The following is a 24,257-nucleotide window of genomic DNA, read 5'->3' as shown; positions in this document are numbered from 1 at the left end:
TGGGCTCAAGCAATCCTCCTACCTTGGCCTCCCAAAGTACTGGGACTACAGACGCGAGCCACCATGCCCAGCCCCATTCCTCCTCCTAAAGTTCATTGACCATACCTTAAAGAGAAAATCCCTTTCAAACGTCTTTCTCCTTTGGCCCTAGCCTGAGTAAATGGGCTGACTCCTCAAGTTCCAGACCATTGTCTCTTTAACTGCTAGAGGAAAACTGAAAACTCTTCTGAAAATCTCATCTTTAATGGGGATTAAATTCTAAAGTCAACACTATTGAAAATAACATAAATTGCCCATAAAGTAGACTAATGGAGTCTTCCTTAATGAAAGTTGCTCTATTTTTTAGTACGTTCTCACAAGGCTATAAAGAACTACCTGAGGTCAGGCACAGTGGCTCATGCCTATAATCCCAGTACTTTGGGAGGCGGGGGTGGGCATATTGCTTGAGGCCAGGAGTTCAAGACCAGCCTGGCCAACGCATGTCTACTAAAAATATAAAAACTAGCTGGGTGTGGTGGCACGTGCCTGTAATCCCAGCTACTCAGGAGGCTGAGGCACAAGAATCACTTGAACCCAGGAGGCAGAGATTGCAGTGAGCCAAGACCATGCCACTGCACTCCAGCCTGGGTGAGAGTGAGACTCCGTCTCAAAAAACAGAACCACCTGAGACTGGGTAATTCATAAAGAAAAAAGGTTTAATTGACTCACAGTTCAGCAGACTGTATGGAAGCATGGCTGGGAGGCCTCAGGAAATGTACAATCTTACAGTCATGGATGGCAGAAGGCAAAGAGGAAGCAAGCCTGTCTTAGCATGGTAGAGCAGGAGAGAGCACTAAGCAGGAAGTGCTACACACTTTTAAACAAGCAGATCTTGTGAGACCTCACTCATTATCATGAGAATAGCAAGGGGAAAATCCCCCTGCCATAATCCAATCACCTCCCACCAGGCCCCTCCTCCAACACTGAAGATTATAATTCAACATGAGATTTGAGTGGGGACACAAGAGCCAAACCTTATTGTTCTATGGCCCTCAATTAATTTTTCAGTTTCTTCCTTGATATTGACAGAGTGATCACCAAGTAAATCCCAGCCACCTGAACGATGTGTTCCAGTTCTTGGTTAGTGTGGGGAAGTGAGTAAAATGAGTCACACAATTATTCTGAGTTTTACCAACGTGAATTGACTGCTTCTGACTTGACATCATCCTTCACAGACCCACTGAGTGGAATGGCAGACAAAATAACTTGATGGGAGGTAAAATGAGTCTCCATTATATGCCACCTTTATTAGGCAAAGTAATTTTTAGTTCATTCTATCTTGTCCTGTCATGGACCCATTGAAGAATTTTTACAGACAGAAGAGAAATCTGCCTTAAATCTCCAAAAAAGAGCTAACAAAAACTCACAATTTTCTTAGCGGTCTCAAAAGTTACAGATAAAATTTTCAGAAAGCATTAAGGTCCAAATACCTATAGTTTCCTGCCCTGCCACAGTCTAGGTCAATGGACAGGAACAGGATACAACCTATTCTCCACCTATAGAGAGCAAACCCAATGGGTCATGACCTTCTCTTCCCTCTTTTCCTCCCCCTTCCTTTACCCTCTCTCTTGTCTCTTCTCTTCTTCACTAACAGGCATGAAGTCCTGAGAGCCTAGACTAACCTGGTGGCAGCGGCAGAGAAAGGGACATATCTTAGAGATCTGAAACAGTCCTCAATTCTATCTGCCCAGGTCGATTGCTTTTTGCCCACACTCCTATTGCATATCTCATTGGTTGCCTTTAATACTTGTGTGCTGCTTTTTAATGTTTTGTATTTATTAGATTTGTCCTCCTGATTAAAAAAGCAATAGTTAATTAAGAGAATTGGCTTTCTCCGTGTGTGGCAAAGTACACCAAAAATAATATGAATCAGCAAACACAAATCAATGTGCAATTAAAAATGACAAATTTAATTTTGCATTCTAATAAAACTTTCTTGTAATCGCTTGAAGTCAATCCCCTGCTTCCATTACTGGGGATCTGCAGTCTGGAAAGTCTTCTCCCTACTGTTGCTTTTCTTTCTCTTTGCAGCTCCAAGGTTAGTGCTGTCAGGAGTGCTGCAAGCATGTTTCCTTCTAATTTGCTGGCAGTAAAAAATCTATCCCCTCTTACTCAGTACACTTCTGTGAGGAGAAATAGGAAAAACACCAAAGTACTTTTCCCCATTCTTACTCGGTTCCTCAATGCAACAGTTCTGACACCAACTCTAGAAATAGAAAAAAAACAACACAAGACGTATTTTTCTTGTTCTCTACTCTCACACAGTCACTCAGCACTTCTGGCACCAGGTGTGTGGGAGTTTTTCGCCAGAAATCAAGCAATTCTGCAGTGGATTCTGCAACAGATTCTCCAGCGGACAGCAGCCAGGTGTCCTCCAGTTCACGATCCACCTGGAGTGAACAGGCAATTCTGACACTATCTACCTGGAGATAGCATCAGATCTCACGGGTTGAAGGGCTTAGTTCCCAACATTGCCCTCCACTTCAGATGCCATGGATTGTGGCCCGTACTTGTTTCTGACCAACTGGTTATAAATAGGGGTTTTTAGTACTCCTTGCTGGGTTTCAGTTAATTTCCTAGAGCAGCTCACAGAACCCAGAAAAACACTGTTTTCTCATGTTTTATAAAGAATATTACAAAGGATACAGATAAATAACCAGATGGAAGAGATGTATGGGGCAAAGTGTGGGAGAAGGAGGGCAGAGCGTCCATGCCCCTACAGAAACCTCCATATGTTCAGCTACCTAGAAGCTCTCTGACTCCAGTCCTTTTAGGTTTTTATGGGAGTTTCATGATGCAGGCATGATTGATTAAATCGTTGGCCTTTGGTGATCAACTCAACCTTCAGCCCCTCTTCCCTCCCTCTGAGATCGGGGTATGAGGCTGAGAGTCTCAACCCTCTAATCCTGCCTCAGTCTTTCCAGTAACCAGACCCCACCCTGAAGCTATCTAGGGGCCCCCAGCCACCAGTCGTATCATTAGCACCTAAAAGATACCCTTATCAGTCCATAGATTCTAAGGGTTTTAGAAGCTGTACGTCAGGAAACAGGAAGAAGGCCCAATATTTATTTTACAATATCACAACTTCTAATAAGGGAATGACAACTGCAATGAAAAAGAAAGGTTCTGCGCAAAGGAAGAATGCAAGCACTTAGCGACCAGACTGAATGGTGGAACAAAGGAAAAATAATGATTTAGAAATGTGGAACCTGGTCATGTTTATCCTATAAGTAGCCTATCAAAAACCCTAATGTTTTTCTTAAAAAGTTGCTATTTTGCTACCAAAATACCAAATAAAAAGTTCTATACCAATATATCCTTTCCTAAGATTTTTAAATTATGAACTTGATGAGTACCCAAGACATCAGTCTGCTGCTCAGTTTAGGAAAAGCTAACAAGAAAGTCTATGATCTGTCAATAAAAACATTAAAAAAATTAAAAGCTGCATAACCAAAGAAAAATAAGAGCAAAACCCCAAGACACCCCACAAAGGTGAACACTTACTTCTTCTTCTTTTATTTTTTTGAGACGGAGTCTCATTCTGCCGCCCAGGCTGCAGTGCAGTGGCGTGATCTCGGCTCACTGCAACTCCCGCCTCCTGGGTTCAAGTGATTCTCCTGCCTCAGCCTCCCAAGTAGCTGGGATTACAAGTGCACGCCGCCATGCCCAGCTAATTTTTGTATTTTTAGTAGAGACAGGGTTTCACCATGTTGGCCAGGATGGTCTCAATCTCTTGACCTTGTGATCTGCCCGACCTGGCCTCCCAAAATGCTGAGATTACAGGCGTGAGCCACCACGCTCGGCCAACACTTACTTCTAAGTGAATGAAAGGACCTCATTTCTACTCAAGGTCCTTGACCCTTTTCCACAAATATTCAAGTAATGGGATTTCTCCTTTCAGGTAGACGATGCATCCATTGAGGAATGTTCTCTGTGGCAAGGCAGCATGGTCAAATGGGGGATCGAATTTTGAAGGCAATGTTTTTCTCATCTCTGCAACCCAGAATTGAGTTCGGAAAAGCTAACAAGAAAGTCTATGACTTGTCAATAAAAGCATTTTTAAAAAATTGAAAGCTGCATAACCAAAGAAAAATAAGAGCAAAACCCCAGGACACGCCACAAAGGTGAAGACTTACTTCTAAATGAATGAAAGGACCTCATTTCTACTCAAGATCCTTGGCCCCTTTCCAAAAATATTCAAGTAATGGGATTTCTACTTGCAGGCAGACAGTGCTTCCATCGGGGAATGTTCTCTGAGGCAAGGCAACATGGTCAACTAGGGATGGAATTTTGAAGGCAATGCTTTTCTCATCTCTGCAACCCAGAATTGAGTTATCTGTGCTCTGAGACTTTTTCTTTATAAACCATTTAATGCTTCAATGATGGCAAAGCTAATTCAGCTTCCCAACAGTGTTACCTCTGGAATCCCACCTCAGGGATTTTGTATCCTCTAGATCTTGGCAGTAAATTTTTGGAAGTACTTGTTTCTGGTTAGAAGTATTTTTAATGTGCCCTGATAGATATGGAGACAGTATCTCCAAAAGTTGACCTTCGGAACAATAAGCATCATCCTCATCATCACAGTAGCTTGTTGTAGTGGGCCAAGATCATGCCACTGCACAGCCTGGGTGACAGAGCAAGACAGAGCAAGAGCCTTCCTTTTAACTAGTCTCTCCTCTTAACATATTTTATTGCTTCTAATTAAACATAAGGCACAAAATACATACATTCCACTACAAAACCTCTTATCAAATAAATTTTACATATTTAACATTTAGCCTGTGAGTTCCTTTGCTAGCTCAATGTGCTTTCCTCTACATTACTCAACAGTGACAGCAGCAATGGCCAGCACTCTGCTTTGTGTTTTATGTGCATTACTTCATTTAATCCTTGTAATAACCCTACAAAGGAGGGTTACTAAACATTTTATACCTGTAAATATCCTCATTTTGCAGGTATATAAAAAAACAAAACTGAAGCACAGAAGGTCAGTTAATTTGCCCAACAGTCATAAAGATAATGGTGGAACTTACTGTCTTTATCTCTGCTTCTAATCTTTGTTTAAGCTCTCATCTCTGGTTTTCTGCCACCTACAGGAAGGTTGTGAGTGAGTCCATTCCATTTCAGGTGACAGTTATAACTAGTATCTTCGGAGCACTCTGTCATCTTTAGGAATAATTGCAGAGCAATATAGTAGTAATTCAATAAATGTCTCTAAGCCCCCCATGAGGTTGAAAGGGCATAGAGATAAATGAGATATGGTCCCAACCCTCTAGAAGCACCCATTCAGAAGACAGTTTTGATAGCAAATCTACCGTCAGAGCCAAGAGCAACACACTTGACCTCTTTGTTTGAGTTACAAAAGGGCACCCCACTTTCTGGCTGACAAAGCTCCACACCAGAACATAGAGAATACTGCAGGTAGATCAAGAGCTGGATTTTGCTGGGCCAAGTGGCTCATGCCTGTAATCTCAGCACTTCGGGAGGCCAAGGTTAACAGATTGCTTGAGCCTAGGAGTTCGAGACTAGCCTAAGCAACGTAGTGAAACCCCATCTCTACAAAACATACAAAAATTAGCCGGGCATGGTGGCACATGCCTGTAGTCCTAGCTACTCAGGAGGCTGAGGTGGGAGTATCCCTTTAGCCTGGGAAGTGGAGGCTGTAGTGGGCCGAGATCATGCCACTGCACTCCAGCCTGGGTGACAGAGCAAGACCCTGTCTAAAAAAAAAAAAAAAAAAAGAAAAGCTGGATTTCATCTCTGCCTTTATAAAACAGTCCTTTTATGCAGTGTGAAAACTACACAACAGTATGTGGTATCTTCAGTTCTATAGTTGGTACCCAAATTATGAGCTTGTGGAGATCTATTCTTTAAAGACGTGCATGAAAATATTAGATGCATAGAATTTATGGAAACATGAATCCATATGTTAGAAAATATGGGGCAGTGATGGAATGTTCTACTATTTCATTTTAATCCCAGTATCAATAAAGGGTAGGAAAACAGATAAGCCTGTGGGAAACAATAAAGTATTTGAGAGGAAAAAAAGAGGAGCAACAAACGGAAAACCAAAACCAGTGAAGAGGGAATGACTGAAGGCCCTATGGAGAATGAGCACTTCCTTAATCTTGAAACTTTAGGAAAACGTAATATGTCTATTGTAAGCAAGTACATACAGAAATGTTCCCAGGAATGACTTTGGGAGGCTGGGCCACATTTGCGTATTCCAGCAATGACTATTTCACCTTTGCTTATAAGGCTGCATTTGTCATGAGACCACAGTATTCTTGACCACTCTATAATATTACCCTCATCAACAAAAACAAAAATCGTTTAGGGAATTCTTTTTTTTTGAGACGGAGTCTCGCTGTGTCACCCAGGCTGGAGTGCAGTGGCGCGATCTCAGCTCACTGCAATCTCCGCCTCCTGGGTTCAAGCGATTCTTCTGCCTCAGCCTCCCAGGTAGCTGGGACTACAGGCACGTGCCACCACGCTTGGCTAATTTTTAGTAGAGATGTGGTTTCACTATGTTGGCCAGGCTGGTCTCGAACTCCTGACACTGTGATCTGCCCACCTCGGCCTCCCAAAGTGCTGCGATTACAGGCGTGAGGCATGGCGCCCGGCCTAGGGAATTCTTAAGATTAGCAAAATAATGAGTCTAACTACTAAGCGGTACACATTAAAACTTGAAAATATTGTCTTTCTTGCCCTCAAAATGAATTACATTTAAGAAGATAATGTAGGCTGGGCGTGGTGGCTCACGCCTGTAATCCCAGAATTTTGGGAGACCGAGGCAGGTGGCTCACTTGAAGTCAGGAGTTCAAGACCAGCCTGGCCAACATGGCAAAACCCCATCTCTACTAAAAATACAAAAATTAGCCAGGCGTAGTGGCGGGCGCCTGTAATCCCAGCTACTCGGGTGGTTGAGGCAGGGAGAATTGCTTGAACCTGGGAGGCGGAGGTTGCAGTGAGCCGAGATCGCACCAGTGCACTCCCGCCTGAGCAACAGAGCGAAATTCCATCTCAAAAAAAAAAAAAAAAAAAAGAGAAGAAGATAATGTATAATACAGGGTATAGATAACAAGTGCTATAAATGGTGCTAAAATTATGGATTTTGGAAATGCAGGGAGAAATCAAATTACCTCTTACAACCAGGGGAAAGACAGAGAAAGGCTGTGCTTTCAGCTAGCTCTTAAAGGAAAGGGTACCACTTCAAAAGGCAGAGCAAGGCAGGGTGAAGAAAGGAAGTACATTCCAAGTAGAGAGAACACTATGATGTAAGTAAAGGAGGCAGAATTAAGTGTAAGTGGTGGATTTAGAGAAAATCAGTATATCTGTTTGACAAGGATAGTAGAAATAATAAAAGTGCCTAACTATGGCAGACTGTGTTCTCCCAAAATGAATGCAGTGAACAGCAATATTTTCAGTTTCACATGTTATTTATTCTATCCGCCATCAAATGGTGGGGTCTCTTTCCCATCTCTTTAATCTGGGTTATGACTGGTTTATGTCTGTTTCAACTGAGAAAGTATAGTGGAAGTGATGCTATGTGACTTCCAAGTCTAGGTCATAAAGGATATAGCTTCTGCCTGGCTCTCTCTTAGGACATTCACCTTTGGAACTCAGCCACCATGTGTGAGGGAGCCCAGGCCACAAGGAGAGGCTACATGTAGGTGTTCCAGTTGACAGTCCCAGCGAAAGTCTCAGCCAACAGCCAGAATCAACCAAAACACGTAAGTACATGAACCTGCAGATGATTCGGCCCTCAGACTCAATGTCTTCCAGCTGAGGCACCAGATACCAAAGAACCGAGACAAGCCATTCCCTCTGTGCCCTGTCCAAATTGCCAATCCACATAATCTGTGAGCTTAATAACTGGTTGTTTCAGGCCAATAATTTTGGGGGTAACTTGTGACATAACCATAATAACTGGAACACTAATATCAATTGGGTAATGACCATATGCCATGTTCTATGTTTGATGCCTTATATTTTATATCAGTTAGCTATTTCTGTGTAACAAACCACCCCAAATCTCAGTAGCTTACAAAACAGTTATTTCTCTACTATAGCTCACACATCCGTGAGTCTATTAGAGGTTGGCTGACCTAGGCTGGGCTCACTCTGGTGTCTAAGTGTTGGCAGGCAGCTCTGCTCCAGGCCATGTGTGGCTGGGGCATCTAAGCTAGGACAGATCTGCTTTATGGGTCTCTCATCCTCCTCTAGGAACCAGCAGGCTTGCCTGAATATGTCACTTTCATGGGGAAGAATGACAGTGGAAACACATAAAGCTTTTGAGGCCTAGGCTTAAAAATGGCACACTATCTGGCCAGGTGTGGTGGCTCACACCTGTAATCTCAGCACTTTGGGAGGCTGAGGCAGGTGGATCACCAGAGGACTGGAGTTTGAGACCAGCTGACCAACATGGTGAAACCCCATCTCTACTAAAAATACAAAAAATTAGCCAGGCATGGTGGCACATGCCTGAATCCCAGCTACTTGGGAGGCTTAGGTGGGAGAATTGCTTGAACCCGGGAGGCGGAGGTTGCAATGAGTTGAGATTGTGCCACTGCACTCCAGTCTGGGCAAAAAGAGCAAAACTCCATCTCAAAAAAAAAAAAGGCGCACTATCACTTCTCCCACATTCTATTGGCCAAATCAAGTTACATGGCCAGACCCAGATTAAAGAGTTAGGAAAACATACACCACCTATTTAGTGTACTATGAAGTCACAAGGAAAGAGTATGCACTTTGGGAGGGGTAAAGAATTGGAGCCAGGGCCGAGTGTGGTGGCTCACGCTTGTAATCCCAGCACTTTGGGAGGCCGAGGCAGGTGGATCACCTGAGGTCAGGAGTTCAAGACCAGCCTGGCCAACATGGTGAAACCCCATCTCTACTAAAAAAATACAAAAAATTAGCCGAGCATGGTGGCAGACACCTGTAATCCCAGCTACTCGGGAGGCTGAGGTAGGAGAATCACTTGAACCCGGGAGGCAGAAGTTGCAGTGAGCTGAGATTGCGCCACTGCACTCCAGCCTGGGCAACAAGGCGAGACTCCGTCTCAAAAAAAAAAAAAAAAAAAAAGAATTGGAGCCAGGAGTAATGTCAGCAAGATGGCTGACTAGAGACACCTGCTGCTTGTCCCGCCCAACAAGAAAGGCCCAAGGCAATGAATAAACAGCTCACTTTGACTGGAGTGTCGAAGGGAGAGCACTGGAGTACAGTGGGGGAGTGGGATGAATCTGCAGTGACAGAAGTCCGGAAGAGCAGCATGGAGGCACCCGGCCTCTACAGCCCCATCTGCTTTTCCCAAATCGGATTGGCCTGAAGACAGGAGGGACTTCCTGTTGTGGAGAAAAGGTAAGCAGATCCCCACCAGCCTTCATTATCTTGACAAACACCTATAGTCCTTTCTACAGGAGAACCCCACAGTTCTCACAAGCCCTGAGCCCCGTTTGCAGAGCTGCCTGGAATTCATGCAGCTGCACTGCCTTGGATTAGGAGTGTAAGGTGTGCACTCCCCACCCCCACCCACTCCCTGTGAGCGAAGCTGCTGCAGAATAGCCCCATCTTGACAGCAGAGCCACCTGTGGAGTGCACCCTCCTCCCAGGGTCAGCAGCCACCCCAGCACTGGGGCTCCATTTTCATTACGCCAAGCCCACAAGGGTAGCTGGATGCCACAGCCCTAGCTGTGCAGAGCTTGGGCCCAGGATCAGCTGTAACTCTGGTCCTGCAAAGCAGAGAAACCAATTCCCACCACCATACATCCAGCTAGAGAAAGAGTCTGCCGGTCTCGCCCAGGGCAAACTGTCCATGAGCTAGCCAAACCACTGTGTGTCCTCCCACATATGGGAGCTGAGATGCCCCAGGCCAGCAGAGTGGCTACACTAGAACTAGCCCTGCAGCACCCCTGCCCCCAACAGTCATGCTCCTGACCTGCCCAGTGGGCCTGTGTCTCCGATAAGAGCTTAAGAAAGAGTCCTGTAGGTCACTACTGGTGGCACGTCTCCAGGGCAGCCAAGCAGCCAAGAGCCCATATGCCGGACTTAAAAAGCAGTCCCGCAGGCTGCCCCTTGTGGGCGTGCCCCTGAGCCAGCTGAGCAGCCATGCACTTGAATCCCAGACCTGAGAAACAGCCCTGTGGGCTGCCCCTGACAGTCATCCCCCAGGACAACTGACCGGCTGTGTGTCCGTGTCCTAGATTGAAAAACAGCCCTGCAGGCTGCCTGTAGTGGACACAACCACAAGCTGACTAAGCAGTCCTGTGCTCCTTGCCCAGGCCTACGAAATAATCTCATGGGCCACCACCCACAGAAATGCCCCTAGGCCATTTGAGCAGCAATGCAGATATGTCATAGGTCTGAGAAATAGCCTTGTGCCCAACCCAGGCAGCAGAGCAGTCATGCACCCATGCACTGGATCTGAGAAATAACTTGCGGGCCACCCCCAGCAGACGTGCCCCTGGGCCAGCCAAGCAGACTTGTGCCCACATCCTGGGCGTGAAAAGCAGCCCCATGGGCCGCCAATGGCAGACATGTCCGCAGGCCAATCAAACAGTTGTGTACCAGCATCCTGAGCCAGAGGAACAGCCCCCTGGACCATCCTCAGCAGATGTGCACTCACACCAGCCAAGAAGCCATGTGATCACGTCTTGAGCCTGAGAAACCTCAGGGACCACCCCCAACAAACATGCCCCAGGCCAACTGAGAAACTGGGCAGCTGTGTCCTGGGCCTAAGAAACTCTGTGAATCACCCAGAGCAGACACACCCTAGACCCAAGCAGCTTTATGCCTGCATCCTAAACCAAAGAAAGCATGTTGTGGGTCACCCCTGGCAGACACATCACCAGGCCAGCCAAGCAGCTGTGTGCCCACATCCTGGGTTGAAGAAAGTCCCACAAACCGAGATGCGCCACGGCTTTGGTAGCAACGGCAGCTCCAGCCGGGCCTGAGCTGTGCTGGCACCTCCCAGGGGACCGTTGGAGTTGGCCAGCCCCTTTCTCCATGGTAACCATGTGCGACCGAAAGGCCGTGATCAAAAATGCGGACATGTCGGAGGAGATGCAACAGAACTCAGTGGAGTGCGCTCCTCAGGCGCTGGAGAAATACAACATAGAGAAGAACACTGCGGCTCATATCAAGAAGGAATGTGACAAGAAGTACAATGCCACCTGGCACTGCATCCTGGGGAGGAACTTCAGTAGTTACGTGACACATGAAACCAAACACTTCATCTACTTCTACCTGGGCCAAGTGGCCATTCTTCTGTTCAAATCTGGTTAAAAGCATGGACTGTGCCACACACCCAGTGGTCCATCCAAAAACAAGGACTGCAGCCTAAATTCCAAATACCAGAGACTGAAATTTTCAACCTTGCTAAGGGAACTCCTCGATGTTTGAACCTTTGTTGTGTTTTGTACAGGGCATTCTCTGTACTAGCTTGTTGTGGTTACAAAACAATTAGCACAATAGCCTACATCTGTATTTATTTTCTATTCCATACTTTTGCCCCACGTTGTTTTCTCTCAAAATCCATTCCTTTAAAAAATAAATCTGTTGCAGATGTGAAAAGAAAAAAAAAAAAGTCCCACAAACCATTCCTGGCAGGCACACCCCAAGGCCAACTGAGCAACCATGTGTGCATGCCCCCAGCCAGAGTAACAACCCTGTGACCTAAACCACAGTGAGCCAAACCCCAAGTTGGCTGACCCACTGTGTGCATACACACACACACACCAGGCCTGAGAAACAGTCTGGGAAGCCCAACTCCAGCAAAGCCACATCATTATCACAAATTCTCTCAGCCTAGACCACTGAGAAACACACAAATGCCACTAGTATGGATTACAGCTGAAGAGACTAAATGGAGAGTACACTACTGTACATACCTAGAATCAAGGTCAATGCACCCCACTGAACTGACACCCAAAGGTTTATTGGTACAAATAAGTGTTTCCCTATGAAGCCTTCTTCATAAAACTGGAAAACATAACTTTTCCACCAGATGTGTAGAAATCAATGTATGAACACATCAACCATGAAAAGGGGAAAGAAACATGTCACTTTCAAGGAAAACAATACTTCTCTAGTAACAGACTCTAATAAAACAATATGAAATGACAGAAAAAGAATTCAAAATAATAATCTTAAAGAACCGCAGTAAGATGCAAGAGAATACAGATAGACTAATGAAATCACAAAAATCAGTTTATTATTTGAATGAGAAATTCAACAAAAAGATAGATATCATAAAAAGAAGCAAACAGTCTCTCCCTCCCCCTCCCCTTCCCCCTCCCCTTCCCCCTCCCCTTCCCCCTCCCCCTCCCTCTCCCTCTCGGCACGGTCTCCCTCTGATACCCATACGAGGCTGGACTGTGCTGCCGCCATCTCGGCTCACTGCAACCTCCCTGCCTGATTCTCCTGCCTCAGCCTGCAGAGTGCCTGGGATTGCAGGCACGCACCGCCACGCCTGACTGGTTTCTTTATTTTTTGGTGGAGACGGGGTTTCGCCGTGTTGGCCTGGCTGGTCTCCAGCTCCTGACTGCGAGTGATCTGCCAGCCTCGGCCTCCCGAGGTGCCGGGATTGCAGACGGAGTCTCGCTCACTCAGTGCTCAATGTTGCCCAGGCTGGAGTGCAGTGTCGTGATCTCAGCTCGCTGCAACCTCCACCTCCCAGCCGCCTGCCTTGGCCTCCCAAAGTGCCAGATTGCAGCCTCTGCCCGGCCGCCACCCTGTCTAGGAAGTGAGGAGCGTCTCTGCCCGGCTGCCCATCATCTGGGATGTGAGGAGCCCCTCTGCCCGGCTGTCCGGTCTGGGAAGTGAGGAGCACCTCTTCCCAGCCGTCATCCCGTCTAGGAAGTGAGGAGCGTCTCTGCCCAGCCGCCCATCGTCTGGGATGTGGGGAGCGCCTCTGCCCCGCCACCCCGTCTGGGAGGTGAGGAGCATCTCTGACCGGCCGCCCCGTCTGAGAAGTGAGGAGCCCCTCCGCCCGGCAGCCGCCCCGTCTGGGAAGTGAGGAGCCCCTCCGCCTGGCAGCCACCCCGTCCGGGAGGTGGGGGGCAGCCCCTGCCCGGCCGCCACCCCGTCTGGGAGGTGGGGGGCGCCTCTGCCTGGCCGCCCCGTCTGGGAAGTGAGGAGCCCCTCTGCCCGGCTGCCACCCCGTCTGGGAGGTGTACCCAACAGCTCATTGAGAACGGGCCATGATGACGATGGCAGTTTTGTCGAATAGAAAAGAGGGAAATGTGGGGAAAAGAAAGAGATCAGATTGTTACTGTGTCTGTGTAGAAAGAAGTAGACATAGGAGACTCCATTTTGTTCTGTACTAAGAAAAATTCTTCTGCCTTGGGATGCTGTTAATCTATAACCTTACCCCCAATCCCGTGCTCTCTGAAACATGTGCTGTGTCCACTAAGAGTTAAATGGATTAAGGGCGGTGCAAGATGTGCTTTGTTAAACAGATGCTTGAAGGCAGCATGCTCGTTAAGAGTCATCACCACTCCCTAATCTCAAGTACCCAGGGACACAAACACTGCGGAAGGCGTCAGGGCCCTCTGCCTAGGAAAACCAGAGACCTTTGTTCACATGTTTATCTGCTGACCTTCCCTCCACTATTGTCCTATGACCCTGCCAAATCCCCCTCTCTGAGAAACACCCAAGAATGATCAATAAATGCTAAGAAAAAAAAAATTGATAAACATAATGACTGCAAAAGTCTATCTTTTCTTTTTAGTATTCTTTCTTAAATGTATTTTCTACCCTAATATTTCATGAGAACTTTGATTCCTACTAAAATATGAATGTTCACATAAAAAAAAAGAAGCAAACAGAAACCCAAGAGCTGAAGAATTCAGTGAATGAAATACAAAATATGCTTAAGAGCTTCAGCAACAGACTAGACCAAGCAGAGAAAGGAATTTCTAAACTTGAAGACAGGTATTTTGAAATAACATACACAGACCATAAAAAAAACGGATAAAGGATAAAGAATAAAAACGAATGAAGAAAGTATACAGAATTTGTGGGTATCATGGGCATTCCAGAAGGAAAAGAAGAGAAAAGGTGAGCAAAACATAGTTGATAAAATAATCAGCAGAAACATTCTTGGGAGAGAGACAGAGATCTAGGTTCAGGAAGATCAAAGAACCCCAAACAGATCCTCTCCAAGGCACATTAAAGGAAAAACATCAAGTCACATATAAAGGCATCTCAATTAAACTAACAAAGCATTTCTCAGCGAAACCTTACGGGCCAGAAGAGAATAGGATAATATATTCAAAGTACTAAAAGAAAAAGAAACTGCCAGTCAAAAATATACCTAGCATAGCTATCCTTCTAAAATAAAGGAGAAGTAAAATCTTTGATAGATAAGAAAAAAACTAAGGAAATTTATCACCACCAGACCAGCCTTACAAGAGATACTCAAGGGTATCTTATATCTGGAAGTGAAAACACAACTACCACCATTATTTACCTACATGCAGGAGAAAGAAAGGAATCAAAGCTTATTGCTACAGAAAACCACCCAACTGCAAAAATAAACAAAAAGAGAGTAAGGAACAAAGAACATATAAAACAACCAGAAAACAGGGCTGGGAGCACTGGTTCACACCTGTAATCCCAGCAATTTGGGAGGTCAAGGCGGGCGGATCACGAGGTCAGGAGATCGAGACCATACTGGCTAACAATGAAACCCCATCTCTACTAAAAATACAAAAAATTAGCCAAAATTAGCTGGGTGTAGCAGCGGGCACCTGTAGTCCCAGCTACTCGGGAGACTGAGGCAGGAGATTGGCCTGAACCCGGGAGGCGGAGCTTTCAGTGAGCCAAGATTGTGCCACTGCACTCCAGCCTGGGCGACAGAGTGAGACTGTCTCAAAAAACAAACAAAAAAACAAAAAACAAACAAAAAAACCAGAAAACAATCAATAAAATGACAGAAGTAAGTCCTCACCTACCAATAATAACTTTGAATGGAAATGGATTAAATTCCCCATTTAAAACATATAGACTGGAGGAATTGATTAAAACAATTGATAACAAGACCCAACTTTATGCTGCTTACAAAAAAACTCACCTCACCAGTGAAGACACACAAAAATTGAAAGTGAAGGGCTAGAAAAAGACACCCCATGTAACTGGAAATCAAAAGTGAGCAGGAGTAGCTATACTTACATTAGATAAAACATACTCCAAGTCAAAAGCTGTAAAAAGAAAAAAAGAATGACATTAATTATATCTTAATAAGGGAACCAGTTCTGTAAGAGAATATAACAATTGTAAATATATATGCACCCAACAGATATATAAGGCAAATATTAGATTTAAAGGGAGTGATAGACTCCACTATAGATAATTGGGGACTTTAAAACCCCACTCTCAACATTAGACAGATCATCTAGACAGGAAATTATTAAAGAAACATCCAATTTAAACTGTACCATAGGCCAAATGGACCTAACAGACATTTACAGAATACTTCACCAACAGCTGTAGAATATACATTATTTGGGGCATGGTGGCTCACGCCTGTAATCCCAGCACTTTGGGAGGCTGAGGCAGGTGGATCACTTGAGGTCAGGAGTTCAAGACCAGCCTGACCAACATGGTAAAACCCCAACTCTACTAAAAAAATACAAAAATTAGCCATGTGCAGCGGCACGTACCTGTAGTCCCAGCTACTTTGGAGGCTGAAGCAGGAGAATCGCTTGAACTCAGGAGGTGGAGGCTACAGTGAGCCAAGATTTTACTACTGCACTCTAGCCTGGGCAACAGAGCAAGATTCCATCTTTAAAAAAAAAAAAAAATATATATATATATATATATATGTATATATATATATATACGTATATATATATATATATGTATATATATATATATATACATATATATATACACATTCTTTTCATCTGCACATGGAACATTTTCCAGGACTGACCATATGTTAGGACATAAAACAGGTCTTAAACTTTTTTTAATTCTTAAAAATTGAAATCATATCAAGTATCTTATCTGGTCATGATGGAATAAAACCAGACATCAATGACAAGAGGAACATTTGAAACTATAAAAAAGATATGGAAATTAAATAACATACTGCTGAACAACCAATGGGTGAAGGAATTAAGAATGAAATTTTAAAATTCCTTGAAACAAATAAAAATAGAAACACAACATACCAAAACTTATGGGTCACAGGAAAAGCAGTATTAAGAGGCAAATTTATAACAATAAATGCCTACATCAAAAAAGTAGAAAGATTTCAAATAAAGAGCTGAAAAATGCACCTCAAGGAATTAGAATAGCAAGAACCAAACCCAAAATTCATAGAATGAAATAATAAAAATAGCAGAAATAAACAAAATGGAGACTAAAAATTCAACAAAACCAAAAGCTGTTTTTTTAAAGATAAACAAAATCAACAAAGCATTAGCGAGAATAACTAAGAAAAAAGATAGAAGACCTAAATAAATATAATCAGAAAAGAAAAAGGAGATGTCACAACGAATACTACAGAAATACAAAGCATCATACAGACTACAATGAACAACTGTATACCAATAAATTCAAAAACCTAGAGGTTACAGATAAATTTCTAGACACAAACAACCTAAAAAGATTGAACCAAGAAGAGATAGAAAACCTGAACATCCTCTATAATAGAAGCATGTCAAAAAAAAAAAAAAAGAAAAAAAAGAAAGAAAAGAAAACCTGAGCAGACCAATAATAAGAAACAAGATTTAATCAGTAATAAAAAGTTTTCCAACAAAAAGTAGTCTAGGACCAGATGGTGTTAACATTCTGAATTCTACTGAACATCTAAAGAAGAAGTAATATAATTTCTTCTCAAACTACCTCAACAAATTGGCCATAGGGAATTCTTCCTAACTCATTCTATAAGGCCAGCATTACCCTGATACCAAAACCAGACAAGAACACACAATAAAAGAATACTTCAGTCAGGCCAATACCCCAATGAGCATAGACACAGAAATCCTCAACAAAATACCAGCAAACCAAATCCAATAACATATCAAAAAGATAATACACCATGATCAAATGGGATTTATTCTAGGAATAGAAGGATGGTTTAACATATGCAAATTAATAAATGTCATACATCACAGCAATAGAATGAAGAACAAAACCATATGATCATCTGAATAGCTGCAGAAAAAGCTTTTGATAAAATTCAATATCCCTCTATGATGGAAAAATCTTAATAAATTAGGTATAGAAGGAAAGTACCTCAACGCAATAAAGGCCATATATGACAAAACTACAGCTAAGGTCTTTATGGAACAGGGAAAAGCTAAAAGCTTTTCTTTAAGAACTGCAACAAGGTAAGATACCCACTCTCACCAGACTTAATACGGTACTGGAAGTCTTAGCCAGAGCAATTAGGCAAGAGACAGAAATAAAGGGCATCCAAATTAGAAAGGAGAAATTGAAAATGACATGATCTTATATGGAGAAGAAACTAAAGACTCTACCAAAACTCTTAGAATTAATCAATTAATGAATTCAGTAAAGTTGCAGAATACAAAATTAATATCAAAAATCAGTAGTGTTTCTATACACAATGAACTAGCTGAGTAAGAAAGCAAAACCATTTAAAATAGCTACAAAAAATAAAATACCTAGGAATAAATTTCAGTGAATGGATAAAGAAAATGTGGTATATATACACAATAAAATACTATTCAGTGATTAAAAAAAAAATGAAACCCTGTCATGTGCAGCAACGTGGATGGAACTGGAGGACAATATGTTAAGTGAAATAAGCCAGGAAGGGAAAGTTAAACACCACATGTTCTCCCTCATGTGTGGAAACTAAAAAAAGTGGATCTCATAGAGGTAAAAAGTAGAACAGAGGATACTAGAGGCTGGGAAGGGTAGGAGGAAGGAAGAGGAAGGGAGAGATTTGCTCAAGGATACAAAATTACAGCTAGATAAAAGGATTAAGTCCTAGTGTCCTATACCCTGTAGGATGACTATAGTTAACAATAATATTGTATATAGGTTGAAATAGCTAGAAGAAGGATATTGAAACACATTCCCAACACAAAGAAATAATACGTGTTTGGGGCCAGGCGTGGTGTCATGCCTGTAATCCCAGCACTTTGGGAGGCTGAGGCAGGCGGATCACAAGGTCAGGAGATCGAGACCATCCTGGCTAACACGGTGAAACCCCACCTCTACTAAAAACACAGAAAATTAGCCTGGCGTGGTGGCGGGCGCCTGTAGTCCCAGCTGCTTGGGAGCCTGAGGCAGGATAATCGCTTGAACCCGGGAGGCAGTAAGCTGAGATCGTGCCACTGCACTCCAGCCTGGGTGACAGAGCGAGACTCTGTCTCCAAAAAAAAAAGAAATAATACATGTTTGGGATGTTTAATATGTTAATATGCTAATTATCCTAATCTGATTAGGCTAATTTGATATATACATTATGTATATCAAAACTTCACTATGTACCCCATGACTATATAAAGTTATTTGTCAATTAAAATTTAAATTAAAAAAGAATTGGAGCCATTACTTTATCACATATTTAATCTTCATAATTATCAGTTATCATTATTATATCCATTTCATTCATTTCCTTGATAAGTAAACTGAGGCTTTAAATAATATGAGTTTACAGAGTTCTTAGAGCTTTTGGTGAAACTGTTTTTGGAGCTTGCCATGGCTGCCTTACCATTGACAGATCAACATCTCAGATATCTTTACTCATCCCTGTATCTGCCAGACCACTACTGACTGCAAGAGTGATGGGGCATCTAGTCTTTTTATCTTAAGCCAATTTCCAACCCTCCTCTGATTGCCCCTTAGGATCACTATATCAACATGTCTCACATGTCCATTTGCCTTTTGCACCAGTAGAGGTTCAAACACTTCTCACCATTCTACCTCAATTGATCCATTCATATGGCCCCCTCTCCCACTTGTTCCTAATTGCCTGAAAACTTCCTGTGCCCTCAGAGACTCATGATCTCTTAACAACATCTATAATATTTTCTCTGAGCTTTCCCTTAATTTCATGCCCTGACTGAAAGCCAATTGTTCCCTAAGGGCACTGGTTGCCCTGCAGTACTCTGCAAGGGATGCGTTTTTGTTTTTGTTTTTTCCCACTCTTATACCATGCACCTCTGGGTTTGAAGATGAGACGTAAGACCAGTATCCTTCTTGATTCCTATTGCAGCTTTATAAGTTGTTCTCTTTCCTCTTAAAAAATTTAAATCCTTTGAAGTTTATGCTATCAGATGCTACAACCCCAAATATTGCTATACTGCTGACATTTAAGCCTCTCCTTATTCACTCAGGATTTTAGCACCTGGCTCTCTTTCTTTCTATTCATCCCTACTCCTGTCACTGTGAAAGGAAAATAAACCTTTGGGCCCCCAAGTCACTAAACTAAAGGGAAAACCCAAGCTGGGAACTGCTTAGGGCAAATCTGCCTCCCATTCTGTTCAAAGTCACCCCTCTGCTCACTGAGATAAATACTTACCTGATTGCCTCCTTTGGAGAGGCTAATCAGAAACTCAAAATAATGCAACCATTTGTCTCTTACCTACCTATGACATGGAAACTCCCTCCCTGTTGTCCTGCCTTTCCAGATGAACCAATGTTCATTTTACATCTTATGTTGATTGATGTCTCATGTCTCCCTAAAATGTATAAAACCAAACTGCTCTGACCACCTTGGCCACATGTCATCAGGACCTCTTGAGGCTGTGTCATGGGCACACATACTCAACGTTGGCAAAATACACTTTCTAAATTAACTGAGACCTGTCTCAGATAGTCAGGGTTCACATCGCCAATCTTGATATATGATCAAATCAACAATGAGGCCTCTTAGTTCCTTGACCTCCTCAACTCTAATTTTTTTTAAATCTCACATCAGCTGCCCACTTCTACAGGCATAAATTTGCCCAATAATTATACTCTTTGATCCAAGCACTTCACTCTCTGACCACTATCCCTATCTTTCAAGTGATTTTGTGTCCGAAATTGGTGGGTTCTTGGTCTCACTGACTTCAAGAATGAAGCCACGGACCCTCACGGTGAGTGTTACAGTTCTTAAAGATGGTGTGTCTGGAGTTTGTTCCTGCTGACATTTGGACACGTTCAGAGTTTCTTCCTTCTGGTGGGTTCGTGGTCTTGCTGGCTTCAGGAGTGAAGCTGCAGACCTTCCAGGTGAGTGTTACAGCTGTTAAGGCGGTGCGTCTGAAGTTCTTTGCTCCTCCCGTCTGGAGTTGTTCATTCCTCCTGGTGGGTTCATGGTCTCGCTGGCCTCAGGAGTGAAGCTGCAGACCTTCCCGGTGAGTGTTACAACTCATAAAGGCAGTGTGCACCCAAAGAGTGAGCAGCAGCAAGATTTATTGCAAAGAGCAAAACAACAAAGCTTCCACAGCATGGAAGGAGACCCAAGCAGCTTGCCACTGCTGGCTGGGGCAGCCTGCTTTCGTTCCCTTATCTGACCCCACCCACATCCTGCTGATTGGCCCATTTTACAGAGAGCTGATTGGTCCATTGTACAGAGAGCTGATTGGTCCATTTTACAGAGAGCTGATTGGTCTGTTTTGACAGGGTGCTGATTGGTGCGTTTATAATCCCTGAGCTAGACACAGAGTGCTGATTGGTGTATTTACCATCCTCTACTTAGATATAAAAGTTCTCCAAGTCCCCCTAGATTAACTAGACACAGAGCACTGATTGGTACATTTACAAACCTTGAGCTAGACACAGGGTGCTGATTGGTGTGTTTACAAACCTTGAGCTAGACACAGAGTGCTGTTTGGTGCATTTACAAACCTTGAGCTAGACACAGAGTGCTGACTGGTGTATTTACCATCCTTTAGCTAGACATAAAAGTTCTCCAAGTCCCCACCAGATTAGCTAGATACACAGTGCTGATTGGTGTATCCACAAACCCCAAGCTAAATACACAGTGCTGATTGGTGCATATACAATCCTCCAGCTAGACATAAAAGTTCTGGAACTTCCCACCCAACTCAGGAGCCCAGCTGGCTTCCCCTAGCGGATCCTGCGCCTAGTGGATCCTGCACCTGGGACGCTGGTGGAGCTGCCCGCCAGTCCCGCACCAGGCACCCACACTCCTCAGCCCTTGGGTGGTCAATGGGACCGGGTGCCACAGAGCAGGGGGTGGCGGGGGGCTCAGGCCACGTGGGAGCCCACAGGGGGTGGTGCATGGGCATAGCGGGCTGCAGGTCCCGAGCCCTGCCCCATCAGGAGGTGGCTGAGGCCCGGTGAGAATTCAAGGGCGGCACGGGCTGGCCGGCAGTGCTGGGGAAACCGGCGCACCCTCCACAGCTGCTGGCCCAGGTGCTAAGCCCCTCACTGCCCGGTGCCCCCAGCCGGCTGCTCTGAGTGTGGGGCCTGCTGAGCCCGTGCCCGGCCAGAACTGGCACTGGCCCATGAGCACCATGCGCAGCCCCGGTTCCCGCCTGCGCCTCTCCCTTCACATCTCCCTGCAAGCAGAGGGAGCCGGCTCCAGCCTCGGCTAGTCCAGAGAGGGGCCCCCACAGCGCAGTGGCGGGCTGAAGGGCTCCTCGAGCATGGCCAGAGTGGACGCTGAGGCCGAGGAGGCACGGAGAGCGAGGGCTGCTAGCACGTTGTCACCTCTCAATTTATCTAATATCTCACTTCAAAATTTTATTTCATTACAACTTCCAATTCACTGAGTCTATTATTTTTTCATTATCTATTGCCCTTTCAAAGACACACATCTCATTGAACCCCTTAGATTCAATGGACTATCATCATAGTCACTCACTGAGATCAGGGCAAGTGGTCTCCTCTTTATGAAGATGACTCAGGAGTTGCACACATCACATTTCGCACCCTATTGGATCAGCTGGGAAGTGGGGCCTTTGGGGAGTTATTTAGATAATGAGGGCTCTGCCCTTATAAATGGATAAATGCCTTTATAAAAGACTTGAAGGGGGAAAGTTCACTCTTTTCCAACCCTTTCATTCCTTCCATCATGTGAAGACATGGCATTCTTCCCTTCCAGAAGACGCTATCTTGGAAGCTGAGTCCAGGTTCTCACCAGACACTGAACCTATCAGCTCCTTAATCTTGGACTCCCAGCCCTCAGTACTGTGAAAAGTAAGTTTCTGTTCTTTATAAGTCACCCAGTCTCAGGTATCTTGTTGTAGCAGCACAAATGAAATAAGACAACTGGCTAAAACTCAGGGCATTCTATTATTAAAAGAAAAGAGGATGTGACTATTTGGGGACAGTTAGTGATGTCTGCACATTACTTAAGCCTAAACGCCCACCTAGTCTGTGCTTTCCCACAAGTAACTAACAGATCAAAGTATGCAGCCATGATGATTCTCACTCCAAATCTCAAGTGAGCAATCAATTCTACATAACAAACTTATACCCGTATTTAATACATTTGATCTTCTGCTCTCAAGAAATGGCTATTTTGGGTGTTCTCCTCTTTTCTCAAACTTCTCACAATCCCTTAGTATCTTTTACACCTCACTCTCAGCTGGTAACTTTCTCTTGTATTCTATAGAAAAAGTGAAAGCAATCCCAGGGAGTTACTTTTCTTTCCCCACTAAATCTACTAGCTCATTCTAACATTCTTTTCTCTCATTTCAATTCTGACTTTCTTTGCCCACATTTTTTTCTCCTTTTACAGTACACAAAAGCAAAAGATGTTCCTAGCAAAGATGAACACCTCTAAAGCCTATCTTCAGCCTTTCTCAAGGACAGATGTCTGTAATAAGCACTTTCTCTTGTACTATTATGTTTTGATTTTCTGTTGGATTTTTCCAACAGTTAGGAAATAGTCTCTAATAAATACCACCTTCAAAAAATTATTAGAAGAGAGGACTCTGGGAAGATAGCAGAGTAGAGAGCACCTGAAATCTGTCTCCCCAACTTGACAACAATTGCACTGAGGGAATCTGTCTTACCTATTTTGAAACTCTAGTGTCTGTTGAAGGCTTGCAGCTTCCAGGGAAGGCTTGGATGGTAAATTGCAGTTAATTCTGGTCAATTTTAGCTTAGCACAGTAGCAGCTACCCATCCCCCACCCCCCAGCCCTTTGGCAAGCAGCCATGCACACATTCCAGGAGCAGCTTTCATATAGCTTGCAGATGCCAGGGTGAGTAAAAAGGACCCTTTCCTCCAAATATCAGGGATCTGGACTTTAATCACTGATTGCTGTTTCTGATTCACAAAGGTGCAGACAGAGGCAGGTAGCCATTGTTGACCTCTCCCAACTGTTGTATGCCCCTCCCCCTCCAGCTGAAGCAACTTCCAGGGGATTAAAAGGGCTGGCACCCCCTACTCCATTTATTTTTCTTTTTTTCCCCCTTTTCAGAGCCATATATTAATGACTAGGATGTTCAAAAGTAACAGGAGTTCGAGATCAGCCTGACCAACATGATGATGGAGTGCTGCTGTGTACACTAAACTTTATGGCTTGGCAGGTCAAATAATGCCCAGTTCATGAAGGGCAGCTCAGGTCACACAGTAATTGGTAGCCCATGGTCAAGCACTCAGGTTCTACTAAGGCCCAGTAACAGGCCAAGAGCTGTCTCTCAAAAGAAGAATAGTTATCTGCAGAAAATGGCAGGGTCCTGATCTAAAATCCTAAAGGGCTGCACTGCAGTTCACCTACAGGAGCCTTCCAAAGACTCCATCAGCATTCCTGTCTGCCACTGAGACTTCAGGCAATACTGGATCGGCTGGATCATATGGCCCCAGTGGCAAAGCAGCTTGCACAGCAGTATGGATCTCTTGCAGAGCCTTTTCCTGTTCTGGGCCCTACTCAAAACTAGCAGCTTTTTGGGTCACTTGGTAAATGGGCTAGAGTAACAAATCCAAATAAGGAATAGGTTGCACCTAAAATCTAAATAGGCCCACTAGAGGTTACAATTCTTTCTTGGCTGTAGGGGGGGCCAAAGGCAACAACTTATCCTTCACTTTGGAAGGGCTATCTCAGTATGCCTCACACAACTGAACCCCTAGAAATTTAATTGAGATAGAAGGCCTCTGAATTTTAGTCAGGTTTATCTCCCATTCTTGGACACACAACTGTTTTACAAGTCTAAGAGTAGTTGCCACTTCTCACTCACTAGGTCCAATCAGTATAATGTTGTTAAATCAAGTTTAGCCTAAACCTTCTTCCTTACATATTTTAACTTCAGCCTAAAGGTGTCTGTGTACATCATGAA

General features: G+C 44.1%; 1 pseudogene, besides 2 other annotated features; it reads left to right on the top strand.

Moving 5' to 3' along the window:
* Nucleotides 788-867: an enhancer, noted in NCBI's record as "active region_8828". NCBI's record gives its function as "activates an Ori minimal core promoter by ATAC-STARR-seq in GM12878 lymphoblastoid cells {active_cell/tissue: GM12878}" and the evidence as "EXISTENCE:reporter gene assay evidence [ECO:0000049][PMID:35858748]".
* DYNLL1P1 (dynein light chain LC8-type 1 pseudogene 1) lies at nucleotides 10,945-11,606 on the top strand (annotated as a pseudogene).
* Nucleotides 22,084-22,243: an enhancer, noted in NCBI's record as "active region_8827". NCBI's record gives its function as "activates an Ori minimal core promoter by ATAC-STARR-seq in GM12878 lymphoblastoid cells {active_cell/tissue: GM12878}" and the evidence as "EXISTENCE:reporter gene assay evidence [ECO:0000049][PMID:35858748]".

This window comes from Homo sapiens, chromosome 14 (genome assembly GCF_000001405.40).
Source record: "Homo sapiens chromosome 14, GRCh38.p14 Primary Assembly".
Lineage (NCBI taxonomy): Eukaryota > Metazoa > Chordata > Mammalia > Primates > Hominidae > Homo > Homo sapiens.
The sequence above is the reverse complement of the archived record's forward strand: the minus strand, read 5'-3'. Positions and strand labels throughout refer to the sequence as shown.